Genomic DNA, 15011 nt, shown 5'->3' with positions numbered 1-15011 from the left:
CATGCCACCATGCCCGGCTAATTTTCTTTATGTTTTGTAGAAACGGGATTTTGCCATGTTGCTCAGGCTGGCCTTGAGCTCCTGGGCTCAAGCAGTCTGCCTGCCTCGGCCTCCCAAAGTGCTGGAATTACAGTCATGAGCCACCACGCCCAGCCAGTATATTATGTATTATGTACAGTTTGAAAACGAGTATAAAGCCATTTCCCAGTCCTCTTAGTAAATGGTTTAGACATAAGCCTTAAATCAAATGATTCTTCGGTAAATCTAAACTGCATAACCTTGGCTAATTTGGAGCTGGCCCTGATCTTGCAGTTTATCAGAAAGTGATTTTCACTTCTCAGTTCTTTACCATAAGATACCCCTGTGGTGGTCCTGGCAGGGTGGAAACCTTACTTTACACTTTTCAGAGTTATTTTGTGTAAGCTTTGAAGGATGTTTGTGTGGAGTATGAGGAATTTGAAAGGAACCCAAACCAGCAATGTGAAGTTCCCTTCTGCTTTCAATTGCAAACCAGGTCACCTACTTGAATTGCTTCTGTTGCCTCTGTTGGGAGTAAGCAGCTCTGCTAATGGTCACTTTCATGGCCCTTTAGGTCCTTGCTCCCTGCCTTATCCTGTGTTCAGACAGCCCTGCTTCATCTTTTGGATATGGGCTGGGAACCCAATGATCTCGCCTTCTTTGTTGATATTCAGTTACCAGATCTCCTCATGAAAATGTCACAGGAGAATATAAGTGTCCATGACAGTGTGATCAGGTAAGAGCACGGTCCTGCGCTCTGCAGTTCCTAATGTAGGTTATGAAACGCAAGGAACATAGTGGGGGCGTTAAGAGCACAGACTCCGGAGCTAGACTGTCTGTGTCATATCTTGGCTTTGCCACATCCTAGCCGAGTGGCCTTGCGCAAGTCTTATAATCCCTCTGTGCCTCAGTTTCCTCATCTTCAGAGCTGGAGATAACAATGGTGCTGCCTCCGAGGCTTGTTGTGATGAGTACCTGAGTTATGTATTTCAGTGTTTAGAACCGCGTCTGGCATGCAGTAGAGCTATGTACATTGGTGGTGGTGAACTCGTGAGCTCTGAGGCCGAGAATCCTCTGCATTTTGGTGATCTTAGTATAGCTTGCTGAATTGGGAAATCCTTTCCATAATTTTTGTTACATGTATATGTTATGTTAGCCACTCTAACTTCTTGCACATTATAAGGACCTCAGTTAGAAAAAAGTCATGTATGAAGGGTTTTTTCCCTCCGATTTGGCCCGTATCTCTCCACTCTACTCAAATCCACTTCCCTATTCGTGGCCATTCATGTGTAGAAAAGAGGAGAAGGGGAGGGGGAATGCACTAAGAGGAGAGAAGTGGGAAGAAGTGAATGAGTCAACACCAGGACAGTCTCCACTCTCTCAGGAGAGCGGTTCCAAGGGAAAAGGGGACAGAATTAGAGCCGTCTCTTTAGTTCACGAACCTCAGCTGTCGCCTCGCTGTTGGAGCTCCGTTGGCAGAGGCGGGGCAGCACTAGGGGGCATGAGCCTGTGGATCTTGGCTGTGGGCCTGCTCGCGGTTTCTCGCTTTGTCTCCCCGCACGCCACAGTCCTCAGGGAAGGAAGCGCGCCCTTTACAGCAAGCCCCCGTGGCACCGAGCGCAAAGCTTGAGTATGAGTGTAGGCCCAAAACCATTTCGTTGGAATGCATGAATGAATGAATGTGTATTTGTAGCTTGGTAAATATTTTGTATTTGCTCTTAAGCAAATCTTTTTCTGTTTAAAGTTCTATTTGTTAAAACGAGCTGTAAACTGAAATTATGGAAATTTACAATTTTGCATCCAAAAGGAACTTATAAGATTATCTACCTGAAGCGCTTTATTTGAAATGAGGAAACTGTGGCCATACCACCCTGAATGCACCTGATCTCGTCTGAAATGGGGAGACTGAGGACCAGGGCTGAGTCATGTGTCAAGGTCTCACAGCAGCTGGTGGTAGAGCTGAAGTCACAGTGTCTCCTGATTCCCTTCTCGTACTGATTCCACCAGGATATGCTGAGCATGTCTAAATCAGACTAAATAATAATAATAATAATAATAATAACTTTATTTGGCCCTAGTGCCTGGCACATAGTAGGTTCACCATAAATGATTGTCCAGTGGAATTATGCCATGTGGTACAACCTTTCAAACTCTTAATTTCTCATCCCTTATAGTCTACTCTGGAAAGGGCTTCTCCTTCTTTCTTGGCATATATCTACCAAATATTTGACAAATCCTGGGGCTTTGAAAAGCAGTTGACCTTTCCCTCTCAGAAGTTGAAAAATGCCCAATATAATAGACCTATAGACACAGGGTCTGCTAACCAGTACTTTCCTTGGTGATTGGGAGAGGCATGCTTTTCTCTCTTTATGTCCTTCTTTCAGCCAATGGAGTGAAGAAGATGAGCTTGCTGATGCCAAGCAGAATTCAGAATGGATGGATGAGTGTCAGGATGGCATGTTTGAGGCCTGGTATGAAAAAATAGCCCAGGAAGATCCAGAGAAGCAGAGGAAAGTAAGACCTCTCAACTAGAGTACTCTGAAGTGATTTGCTAGGAGTTTGGAGAGGAGAGTTTGCCTGGGGGGGTTCTGGCAGGCTCTTACCTGAGAGGGCTGCAGGTGGCATTCAATACCCTAGTGAAGGGGTCCCCAACCGCTGAATGCGACCGAATGCAGGCTGTGAGCAGCAGGCAAGCGAGGGAGGCTGAGCTCCGCCTCCTGTCCGATCAGCTGCGGCATTGGATTTTCACGGGAGCATGAGCCCACAATAAACCGCGCATGCGAGGCATCTAGTTTGTGCGCTGCTTATGAGAGTCTAATGACTGATGATCTGAGGTGGAACAGTTTCATCCCGAAACCATCCCCCACCCAGTCCTGTGCAGAAATTGTCTTCTACGAAATTGGTCCCTGGTGCCAAAAAGGGGGACTGCTGCCCTAGCGTCTGGTGTTTAACCTTTAACCTGAGGGGCTATAAATCCTGATTTGACTACACTCAGAGTGGCTCCCTGCCGTAGAACTAGACTCATTGAAAAATTGGCTCTTAAAGCTGATGTACAATATGAGGTGCCAGTTTACTAATTTACAGTGAGAAATAGAATTGCTGGAGGGCCTGGGCTCTAGTGTCCTTGGAGCAGCACATTCTCTTCCTGTAGACAAGCAGTGTGGGAAGCCACGTTTCCATCAGAAGGCTGCCTGGTGAGCATGGGAGCAGCCGTTATGTATAGAGAGGGCATCAGAGCTGCATGATTCAGATGTGCAAAGGCTCAGGCTCAGATAGCCCACTGTGTCCATCTCCACGTCAGGTGTTAAATCCATCGCTACCACATGTGCCAAGCATCTGCTGCCTCAGATTCATTCATTTTCTAAGTATCGAGTGCCTACTATGTGCCAACCACTTTGTTCACGTAGCACCACTGTGGTGCTTGGATGGAGCTTGCCAAGTGGGCCTTTGTGGCTTTTTCTCTCGCATATGTTAATACCTTTTGGGAGTTCTGTAGTTGTAAGGTGACTTGGCATATTTGCTCTGGTCTACTGTATGACTTACTGATTTAGATCCCTCATTTCCAGGCCCTAAAGAGAAACAATACTGTAGTCCAAGTACTTTCCAGTAAAGCAATTTGTTTGCTCATTAGACAGTACCCAGACTATCCCTGCAGAAAGTTTGCCTGTAAGTGCCAGGGACAGTACTCCTTTTGCAGTGTTTCCTGTATCTGTGAACACTACCATCGTCCAACCACGTACCCAAGCCAGAAACTTTCTTCCCTTTTACTGATCCCTATATCCAGTCGGTCACCAAGGTTTCCCACTTCTGCCTCAACACCTCAAATCTACGCACCTTTCACCATCCCGCCTACTACTCAGTCCCAGCCCTTATAATGTGCCATGGGGTTCCTTTAACGCTTTGGTCATGGTCAGTCTCACTGAGTCCAGGCTTGCCCCTTTGATCCATTCTTTCCTCAACTTCCAGAAGAGCACTCCAGTCCGATCACATTACTCTTCTCTCTAAAAACAATCTGTAACTCCTAAGACTGATATGCAAGGCCCTTTGTGGTTTAACCTTTCTCTCTTCATCTGACTCTTCCCCTCTGTACTGTATTCGACGCACTGAGTCATGCCAGTTTCATAAACCTGTCTCTCATCCCCTTTTTGCTGTCTGTCAAATTTGCTATTTCTATCTGACATGCCCACCTCCCTTACCCCGACCCGTCTAGTACCTGTTTGTCCTTTGGGTCTCACCTGAGGAATTATCTCCTTTGGAAAACCTTCTTTGACCTTCTGAATACCCATTGGTAGCCATAGTCCTCTGTCCTCTAAGCCTCCTGCAATTTCCTGTGAAAGCACTGGTCATACTAAATGGTCATCACCTCCTTGATGGAATTCCCAACTAGACACTGAGGAGCTTATTCATTATCAAATCCTAGCACTTAGTACAATGCCTGGAACATCTTCAGTACCTAGTGAATGGAGGAATTGATTAGTGAATTGTGGCCACCTTAGAAAATCTATCAGTTAATTGTATATGTTTGGCCTTACAGATGCACATGTTCATTGCTCGCTACTGTGACCTGTTAAATGTGGACATCTCTTGTGATGGGTGTGATGAGATTGCCCCCTGGCATCGATACCGCTGTCTGCAGTGCAGCGACATGGATCTCTGCAAAACTTGCTTCCTAGGTAAATTTCATGAACTGGGTACGCCGTATCCAAAGGCAATATCACTTCTGATTTCTATGATCTTGTCATTTTTAAAAACTCTCAGTGTACTAAATCAAAGTACTGCCCAGTGGTATTTTCTCTGACTTCTTGGCGAACATGAGCCTTATCTCCTCAACTAAATGAAAAGCTCCACAGCCCTAATATCTGTCGTGCTTCCTTCTTCTATCATGCTGGGTGTAGCCACATAATAAACACTCGGGACCAGTGTATGTATGTTCAGTGGAGTTTTCAGGAAATAGTGTTTGCTTCTGAATCATGCAGTGTTTACATGTAGCAAAATACACACGCACACATACACAAGCAAGCTTCAAAAATCCTCGTACACTTGACTTCTAGGTGCTGAGGTAAAACAGATGCACAGTAGTGCACACCTGACTGGCCTTTTTGTGCATGGCCCAGTGGTAAGAGACAGCCCTTGCCCTGGAACCATCTACAGTCCAGCAGGAGGACTGGACAGATCCACAGAATGTCTATTCCAGTACAAGAATGTGTGTGCTGAGTTATAAAGGAGGGTACAGATTGTTTCTGGAAAAGTTTAGAAGCAGTAGCAGCATTGCTGCAGGGAAGGCTCGTGAAGGAGGTGGAATGAGAATTGGTTTTTGAAGGAAGTTAGAACTGGATGATGTGTAGGAAACGTTGGGGATGGTATCACCATCAAGGGCATAGCAAACCCTGGGACAGAGGAGTGTCTGTAGTGACTTTAGATGGCCATGCTGAAATGTTTGCCCAACTAAGTGATGGATTAAGACAGGTGGGGCCCCCGACTGTGGGACCCCAAGATACTAGGCTAAGGAGTTTGAATAGTCTAGAGACAGCAGGGAAGGTTTTTGAAGTAGGTATTATTAATAACATGATGAGAGCTATGCTAGAGGAAGGTGGTTCTGTCAGTGCTAAGAGTCTCCTTTAGGAAATCAGTCACAGTATTCACACAGGCATGGGAGCCTGGACTGGGTTCATGACAGTGAGAATGAACAGAAGTGGGCCAGGCGCGAGGAGCATTCTTTAGGGTCCATGACAGAGCTTAGAGTGAGAAGGGCCCAAGGGCCTTAGAGTGAGAAGGAGACCAGTGCAGCCCATCTCTTTCCTGACTGTTATTCTCTCTCACTCACTGGGTCTGGGTCTGGTTTTTTCTCCCCCGCCGCCCTCCCGAGACAAAGTCTCACTCTGTCCCTCAGGCTAGAGTACAGTGGCACCATCTCAGCTCACTGCAACTTCTGCCTCCTGGGTTAAAGTGATTTTCCTGCTTCAGCCTCCCAAGTAGCTGGGAGTACAGGTGCCTGCCACCACACGTGGCTAATTTTTGTATTTTCAATAGAGACGAGGTTTCACCATATTGCCCAGGCTGGTCTTGAACTCTTAGACTCAAGCGATCTGCCTGCCTCGGCCTCCCAAAGTGCTGGGATTACAGGCATGAGCCACAACGCCTGGCCCTTTTTTAATTTTTTAATTTTTATTTTTTTATTTTGGAAGTCTGTTTTCATCTGTGATTCTGGAGTGAAAAAGGAAGAGCAAATATCCTGATCAGTCCTCAGTGCTTGTTAACAGGAATACATCAACAGAAGCTTACTCTTTGTTAGTGGAGGGGTCATAGGAGACAGCTCACAAATTAACATGTGGACTTGTTTCCACCAAACAGCAGTCCTGATAATGCATTTGATCTCACTGTACCATTGCCGAGAAATTCTGTGCCAAGAGTCTCATTCATATGCCTTGAGCCACCCAGGCAGAGCACCCTGTCTCCAGAGAACGCCTGTGGGCCCTGTATCCCTGAGCAGTCACTTGGGAACGGCCCTGGTGCTGGGGTTGGTTTGGGTTTGGAAACTAGCCCATCTAGGAGCCCTCTACCTCATCCCCTCACACTGCTGTGTTTCTCCTCAGGTGGGGTGAAGCCTGAGGGCCACGGAGACGACCATGAAATGGTCAACATGGAGTTTACCTGTGACCACTGCCAGGGTTTGATCATAGGCCGGAGGATGAACTGCAATGTTTGCGATGACTTTGATCTTTGCTACGGATGCTATGCAGCGAAGAAATACTCCTACGGGTATGTCTCAAGTGACCGTCGCCACCAAGCCTTTTATTTACACGTTCCTTCACTTGAAAAGGGACTTCTTTCTTTTTTTAAAAAAGTTTTTTTTATTTAAAAATTTAAACATAACCAAAAGTAAAGAGACTAACACAGTGAACCTTCATGTACCCATTACCCAGGTTCAGCAGTTAGGAAGATTTTGTAATGTGTGCTTAGTTTATTGCTTTTTTTTTTTTTTCCTGTGTTAAAGTATTTTAAAGCCAATTCCAGGACCAGGCTCGGTGGCTCACGCCTGTAATCCCAGCACTTTCAGAGGCCGAGGCGAACTCCTGTGGTCAGGAGTTCGAGATCAGCCTGCCCAACATGGAGAAACCCCGTCTCTACTAAAAATACAAAAATTAGCTGGGTGTGGTGGTGGGTGCCTGTAATCCCAGCTACTTGGGAGGCTAAGGCATGAGAATCGCTTGAACCTGGGAGGCGGAGGTTGCAGTGAGCTGAGACTGCGCCACTGCACTCCAGCCTGAGCGACAGAACGAGACTCCATCTCAAATAAATAAATACATAAATAAAGCAAATTCCAGGCCTTAAATTATTTCCTTCCTACATACTTTATACCCCCCTTTAAAAATTATGGGTTTTATTCACATTACCAAAATGCTATTACCACACCTTCCAAAATCACAATAAGCAATTCTTCCTTAGTCCAATTTCTGCAGACAACCTCTGGGGATTGTGAAACCCTGAAAGGCATGTTCTGTGTTTGTGTTTCTTCATTTTTCTGGAGAGAGGGCCCACACCTTTCTTTACATTTTCAGTAAGCGCATCCTAGAGGTGACTAATGCCCAGTTGCGACCACATGCTCTCCTAAGGCCCTGTGCTCCTGTTTGGAGCCACAAAAGCTTTTGGAGGGTTGTAAGCTTTAAATGTGTCTTGCCTTTGCAGCCATTTGCCTACCCACAGCATCACGGCCCACCCAATGGTAACCATTCGGATCAGTGACCGGCAGAGGCTCATCCAGCCATATATCCATAACTACTCCTGGCTGCTCTTTGCTGCCCTGGCTCTCTATAGCGCCCACCTGGCCAGTGCAGAGGATGTGGATGGGGAGAAGCTGGACCCCCAGACGCGCAGCAGTGCCACCACCCTGCGGAGCCAGTGCATGCAGCTCGTCGGGGACTGTCTGATGAAGGCTCATCAGGGAAAAGGTGACTTCCCAATGCACAGAAACCAAAACCAGCCCTCAGTTGCTGGTGAAAAAAAGCCTTGGCAAATGTAAAATACTAAGCTTAGTTTACAGGTGGCAACATCCACTTTTCCACAAAAGGGGCTTACCCTGGTGTGGAACTTAATTTTTAAGTTCCCCGATGGATTTTAGAGAAATGTTGGCATTGAAGTTCAACATTTAATTTCTCTGAAACTAATATTAATACCTCAAACTAATTTTAAATAATAATTAAAACTCTTTATATCTGTGGATGCAGTCTAGTATTTGAATCTACCAAACTTTGCTGAAAGAATCCAGACTTCTTAACCTGGAGTGTAAATCTGCTTCCACACAAGTGTATTCTAGATGAGAGCTGTTTACGAGTAAAATAGTTTAGCAATATATCGACATGAATCTGACTCGACTAAGGAGTGGTGGGAAGAAAGCAACTTGAAAGTTAAACCTTGGAGACATCTAAGTTCCTTCAGATAATGGCATCCCCATTCTAGTCAACATTAGGGAACCAGGCCTGTATGAGATAGCACATGGGTAACGCCAGCACCTTAGAGCAGTTCCCATACCAGTTTGCCAGTGAGAATTGAGCAGTCTGATTGTGTGGGGCTAGTATAAAAGTATAATGTTGATTATTTTCTAAATAGACAATCCTGTTATATGTTTTATCTTCTGTTGTTAATAAAGTATAAAGTGCAGGTATCCCTTGCTATTCAGCCTCTCACCATCTGAGAGGAGGAGCTGAGTAGATTTAGACAGCGAGGGATGTTCACGTTGAGTCCTCTAGGATTTGGTTTGTGCAGAACTCATTTATTTATTTCTATATAATGGCAAAGTAACTTATGGCACTTGCTGAAAAGAACTCTCATTATAAAACTTCTAACCATTCTCTGATTTGCTTCCCACATAGGCCTTAAAGCTCTAGCTTTGCTGGGTGTATTGCCAGATGGGGACTCGAGCCTAGAAGATCAGGCCCTACCAGTCACTGTGCCCACCGGAGCGTCAGAGGAGCAGCTAGAGAAGAAAGCTGTCCAGGGTGCTGAGCTGTCAGAAGCAGGCAATGTAAATGACGATTCTTTACTACACAGAATCACAGGTTGAACTCTAGAGAGAGCCATTCACTCAGTGCAGCATAGCAGAGAGGTTAAGAGCACAGACTCCTAACCCAGACTGCTGGATTCACATGCCTGCTCCATCAAACCTTGGGCATGTTGTTATCATCTCTTCAGTGTTTGTTTTATTTTCTTTTGTTTTGTTTTGAAACAGGGTCTCGCTGTCACCCAGGCTGGAGTGCAGTGGCGTGATCTTGGCTCACTGCAGCCTTGACCTCCCCAGGCTGAAGTGATCCTCCCACTTCATCCTTCTGAGTACCTGGGGCCGCAGGCATGTGCTACCATGCCTGGCTAATTTTTGTATTTTTTGTAGAGACAGGGTTTCGCCATGTTGCCCAGGGTGGTCTTGAACTCCTGGGCTCAAGTGATCTTCTGGCCTTGGCCTCCCAAAGTGATGGGATTACAGGCATGAGCCACTGCACCCAGCCTGCCTCAGTTTTCTCATCTATAAAATGGGGATGATGATATACTTGTAACATAGGCTTATTGTGAGGAGTTGTATATATGACGTACTTTGAGCTACTGTATGTCAAGTGCTTAGAAGAGTTGATAGTAAGTTCCATATCTGTGTTAACCACTCCCATTACCTGTCTCCTGGTAGTTTTTATAAGAATTAAACAAGATTGTGCACCTAAAGAAATTAATTGGCCAGGCACAGTGGCCTGTAATCCCAGCACTTTGGGAGGCCAAGGTGGGCGGATCACAAGGTCAGATGTTCAAGACCAGCCTGGCCAACAGGGTGAAACCCTGTCTCTACTAAAAATACAAAAAAAAAAAAAAAAAATTATCCAGGCTGGTGTCACGTGCCTGTAGTCCCAGCTACTCGAGAGGCAGGGGAATCGCTTGAACCCGGGAGGCGGAGGTTGCAGTGAGCCAAGATGGCGCCACTGCACTCCAAACTGGGCGACAGCAAGACTCCATCTCAAAAAAAACAACCAAAAAAAAGTCATTCCTAGCCCATGGTGTACACTGTATCGGTGTAGCTGTATTTATATTCAGTCAACAGTTAGGTGTTACTGATGCTTACTGTTTACCGGGTAGACGCAGTAATTTACACATAGTTGCATAAACAGAAAAGCTATTCTGGATCCAGGTATAACCTGTGATAGTGGCACTAAAGATTGTTTTATGGAAGAGCACGCCATTGTTTCTATGATGCTGCCTCCAGAGCTTGTGTTTCTGCTGAAAAGGCCCTTGACTGCCACAGGGGTCGCTGATGTTGCTGTCCTCTGTCTGTCAGGTTGCTAGTTCAAGGATTCCCCCATCTGGTGGTTGTAGCTCACCAAGGTCCCATTCTCATGTGGAGGAATACAAAAGCAAAACTGGCCAGCAGAAACATCAACATTTTTATTATTTCCATTCAGCCAGAGAGTCAGTAGAAGACAGGCCACATAATCATCAAGCCTGTCTCTCAACCGTCCACATTTTTTCCATGAAACGTCTTCTGTAGGCGGCACTTTAACCACCCACGGATTATGATGGGAACAAAGAGAACATTGTTAGGAGAAATGGGATTAATCAGTAGTCCTCACCTTTGAGCCTGGGAATATTTGTATCTTCTTGTGAGCCCTCAGCATCTTAAAACTAACCTTCCACCCATAAGCACTGTGCTTCCCCGTTTATCCTTTTATTTATGTCAGAATGGACTTAATAGGGTTTTTTTATGGGTTTTTTTTAATTCAATGGATAAAAATCTATTACTTTTCTTATTTTTTTTGAGACAGGGTCTCACTCTGTTGCCCAGGCTGGAGTGCAGTGGTATGATCTTGGCTCACTGCAACCTCCACCTCCTGGGCTCCAATGATCCTCCTACCTCAGCCTCTCAAGTAACTGGGACTACAGGCGCCCACCACCACGCCCAGCTAATTTTTTGTATTTTTAGTAGAGACGGGTTTCACCATGTTAGCCAGGTTGGTCTCGATCTTCTGACCTCGTGATCTGCCTGCCTCGGCCTCCCAAAGTGCTGGGATTACAGGCGTGAGCCACTGCGCCCGGCCACTTTTCTTATTTTTTTTGAGACAGGGTCTCACTCTGTTGCCCAGGCTGGAGTGCAGTGGTATGATCTTGGCTCACTGCAACCTCCACCTCCTGGGCTCCAACGATCCTCCCACCTCAGCCTCTCAAGTAACTGGGACTTCAGGTGTATGCCACCATGCCAGCTAATTTTTGTAGTTTTTGTAGGGATGGGGTTTTGCCATGTTACCCGGTTGGTCTCGAACTCCTGGACTCAAGCAATCCATCTGTCTCAGTCACCCAAAGTGCTAGGATTACAGGCCTGAGCCACTGTGCCTGACCCATTATTTATTTTGATGCTCAAATTGTCCCATGTTTGGGCAGTGGAAACTGCTCCTCCCTGGCTTTTGTGTTCTTTTGATATGTTGCCATTATTTTTTGAACAGTTCCTTAATTTTTGATAGAGAAAGATGTTTCAGGCTTGTTTTAGGCCTTCCCTGCTTCAGGATTGAAATGGGACTTTTTCCAAAGAGGTCCCAGGGCACTGTTTTTATTCTTGAGCCATTCCCACCTTTTGAGTCCCCTTCCCACCCACCAGCAGCCGGGTGCGCCCAGGGTATCCTGCCTCTGGCTCTTCCTCTTAGTCTTCAAGTAAAGCTGCAAGCAATTTCCAGCACTGTCCCCACAACTGAACCTGAGTGTTGCCACTACAGTGGCCATAAGGACTGTATCCCATTGGGGCCCCTAGGACAGATCACTGTTTTTCAACTCTCACGTGCTTCTAAGCAACCCCAGGGCCCTGGTAAGGGTATCTACCTTTTCTCCGTCCAATGACTAGAGATACTTTTTGTTTTCAACAACTGAGAAACTAACCTTAGCCAGAGGCATCATCCAGAAGATTCTGTTTACAGTGTCCTGTGATAACAGGAAAAAAGATAAGTCATTTGCCATAACTTGGGAATTATATTGTCTTCGCAAGTGCCATATGGTACAGGGAGTATGGTGTCGGGTCTTTTCAGAGGGTACATTTAACAAAGCAAGTAGCTCTCCCAGTTTCATTCCTCTCTTAGGACAGTCTTACAGTCACATTTTTCTCAGAAAGAGGTTGAAGGTAGGATTGATATTGAGGTTACATATGCAGAGGGGAGGCTGAGTTAGGTACCCCTGGGAGACGGCATGTCACCTCCTGAATGTTTGGTGTTGAATCACACTCCACCTTTGGCCCCAAAGAGTGAAAGTCAACGTTTGGCCTTCTCAGACCTGAAGCTGGGGTGCCTCCACCATGCACATAACACTTCCCATGTAGCCACAGTTCCACACATAAGCCTGTGTGACAATAGGGAAAGGCACCCTGAGGGTCCCAGGAGTGCAAACAGTCACTGGGGGGATTCTGAGTGACTTCTCAGGAAATGCAGCTGACAGCTGTCACCTTGCCCATCTGGGCAGCTCACCACTAGACTCCTGATTCTAGAAAAGTCTCCCACCTCCAGAAAGGGCCCCTTTAACAAGTCTCATTGCCAAAGTGGGATTCTCAAAAGGGCATCAAAGGTATGTTTATTCTGTTTTTTAAAATAAAGAGGCCGGGCGTGGTGGCTCATGCCTGTAATCCCAGTACTTTGGGAGGCCAAGATGGGTGGATCGCAAGGTCAGGAGATCAAGACCATCCTGGCTAACACAGTGAAACCTCATCTCTACTAAAAATACAAAAAATTAGCTGGGTGTGGTGGCGGACACCTGTAGTCCCAGCTACTCGTGAGGCTGAGGCAGGAGAATCACTTGAACCTGGGAGGCGGAGCTTGCAGTGAGCCGAGATGGCGCCCCTGCACTCCAGCCTGGGTAACAGAGCGAGACTCCATCTCAAAAAAAAAAAAAAACAAGAACAAAAAAACAGCATCTAGGAAACAGCAGCTAGGAAAGAATGCTAAAACCTGGTAGAAAGGGTGTGATTAGTTAGGTTTAGGAGTAGCATCCGGTTTTGTTTGATCAAGTGACATGTGTGGTTGGCTTTATGTACACCTTCCATGTTAATTAACAAAGGCAAATTCTATAGAAAAGTAAGAGAGGAAATATATACAACCCACAACTCTGTCCCACAGCCCACAGAATGCCAGTTTCTACAGCAATAAAATAGCTTCATCTGTGGCAGTGAAAACAATGTCATATTTCTAGGCTATAGAATTGATGTAGTCTTATCTTCATCATATTAAAGATAATGTTAGATACCAAGAATTTTCTAATTATTCTGTAAATAAAGGTTTGTTTGGTTTTCATACTGAAGAAAACAAAGTACATTAACGATAGTCACCAGAGTGTACTAGAAGGGAAGTCACAACTTTTTATACTCACAGAGTCAAAAGAAAAAGAAAGAAAGAATTTCATAGCTTTGTCTTTTTCCTCTGGGAACAACTTTCCATGCTTGGTTTCTGAAAGCTGAATAGAATGTATGAGAGGTTTTTAATAGAGCCATTTCTTATGGGACTGCAGGCTCTGACAGAGGGACATTTGGAAGATGGGGGATGCGATGCAATGGTTACTATCTTATTTTTTTTTTGAGACAGAGTCTTGCTCTGTCGCCCAGGCTGGAGTGCAGTGGCGCAATCTCGGCTCACTACAACCTCCTCCTCCTGGGTTGAAGCGATTCTCCTGCCTCAGCCTCCTGAGTAGCTGGGATTACAGGCTCACGCCACCACGCCCAGCTAATTTTTGTATTTTTAGTAGAGATGGGGTTTCGCCATGTTGGCCATGCTGGTGTTGAACTCCTGACCTCAAGGGATCTGCCCGCCTTGGCCTCCCAAAGTGCTGGAATTACAGACATGAGCCATCACACCCAGCCCGACAGTTACTGTCTTAATTAGAATATAGATTTACCATAAGAAATGAGTGGCATAGGCGAGGCCTGGTAGCTCACGCCTGTAATCCCAGCACTTAAAGAGGACGAGGTGGGCAGATCACGAGGTCAAGAGATCGAAACCATCCTGGCCAACATGGTGAAACCCTGTCTCTACTAAAAATACAAAAATTAGCTGGGCATGGTGGCACGCACCTGTAGTCCCAGCTACTCAGGAGGCTAAGGCAGGAGGATCGCTTGAACCTGGGAGGTGGAGGTTGCAGTGAGCCGAGATCACACCACTGCACTCTAGCCTGGTGACAGAGTGAGACTCTATCTCAAAAAAACACACAAAAAAGAAAAAAGAAATGAGTGGCATTTTCTAATGGCATTCAAAAGTTTTTTAGTCTATGAAGACTGGCTAATCATTAAAAAGTTATCATAATCATGGAGCAAACTTTGTTATAAGAAACCTTAATTCTTTTACACTTTTGTTTTTTTAGGGAAAGAGAGCTGTTCATGAGGAAATCAGACCTGTAGATTTCAAGCAGAGAAATAAGGCAGATAAAGGTGTATCATTATCGAAGGATCCTTCATGCCAGACCCAAATTTCAGATTCACCTGCAGATGCTAGCCCACCTACAGGACTTCCAGGTAAAGACTATTTGACCATTATCTTCATCTCTTTCATCTTAAAATGCACATATACCCATCCCTGAGCTGTTTGTGGCACACAGCTTGACATTGGCTAGACGCCAGGGGTGCGTGGTTTCTCAGTTCTGTTCAGATGGTGCTGATGACACCTCGAATGTCATCTTTCTTCACTTTGACTGCTTTCCTACCTTATTTATTTCCTGTATTTACTAAGTGCTTTCTATATGCCAAACACAGTGCTAGACCTTGGGGATGAAACAGGGACTGAATCAGACAGATAGACATGTGGTTCCTGCCCTCATGGAGCTCACAGTCTAGGAGGGCTTAAGACACAGGTGCAGGTAACTGTAATTTGAGGCGGAATGAGGTGTAAGTGGGTGTTGACAGTGATTGGTGTCTCTCTGGGGCAGACTGTATCCTCATAAAGCTTTAGAGAGGAAGAGATCTAGGGGACCTTGAATGTGCTAGGATCTGCAATAGGGATGGG

At 45.7% G+C, this 15011-nt stretch overlaps 1 protein-coding gene and 1 pseudogene across 9 annotated transcripts in view; both read left to right on the top strand.

Annotated features, from left to right (window-relative positions):
• ZZEF1 (zinc finger ZZ-type and EF-hand domain containing 1) overlaps positions 1–15011 on the top strand; it is a 138586-nt gene that overhangs the window by 84283 nt on the left and 39292 nt on the right. For 8 of the 9 annotated variants that reach the window (XR_007065288.1, NM_015113.4, XM_005256561.3 and 5 more), the window contains 7 exons: positions 593–754; positions 2403–2532; positions 4553–4691; positions 6612–6777; positions 7705–7967; positions 8889–9040; positions 14374–14524. Coding sequence is in view for 8 of the 9 variants with exons in the window: in NM_015113.4 (NP_055928.3) it covers positions 593–754; positions 2403–2532; positions 4553–4691; positions 6612–6777; positions 7705–7967; positions 8889–9040; positions 14374–14524 (1163 nt within the window). In the remaining variant the exon portion in view is untranslated. Of the gene's footprint in view, positions 1–592; positions 755–2402; positions 2533–4552; positions 4692–6611; positions 6778–7704; positions 7968–8888; positions 9041–14373; positions 14525–15011 lie in introns of those variants that run through there. The other variant, XM_011523759.3, reaches the window with a different exon arrangement.
• Positions 1872–1992, top strand: RNA5SP434 (RNA, 5S ribosomal pseudogene 434; annotated as a pseudogene).

Source organism: Homo sapiens, chromosome 17 (genome assembly GCF_000001405.40).
Source record: "Homo sapiens chromosome 17, GRCh38.p14 Primary Assembly".
Classification (NCBI taxonomy): domain Eukaryota; kingdom Metazoa; phylum Chordata; class Mammalia; order Primates; family Hominidae; genus Homo; species Homo sapiens.
This window is presented reverse-complemented; position numbering and strand designations above follow the sequence as displayed.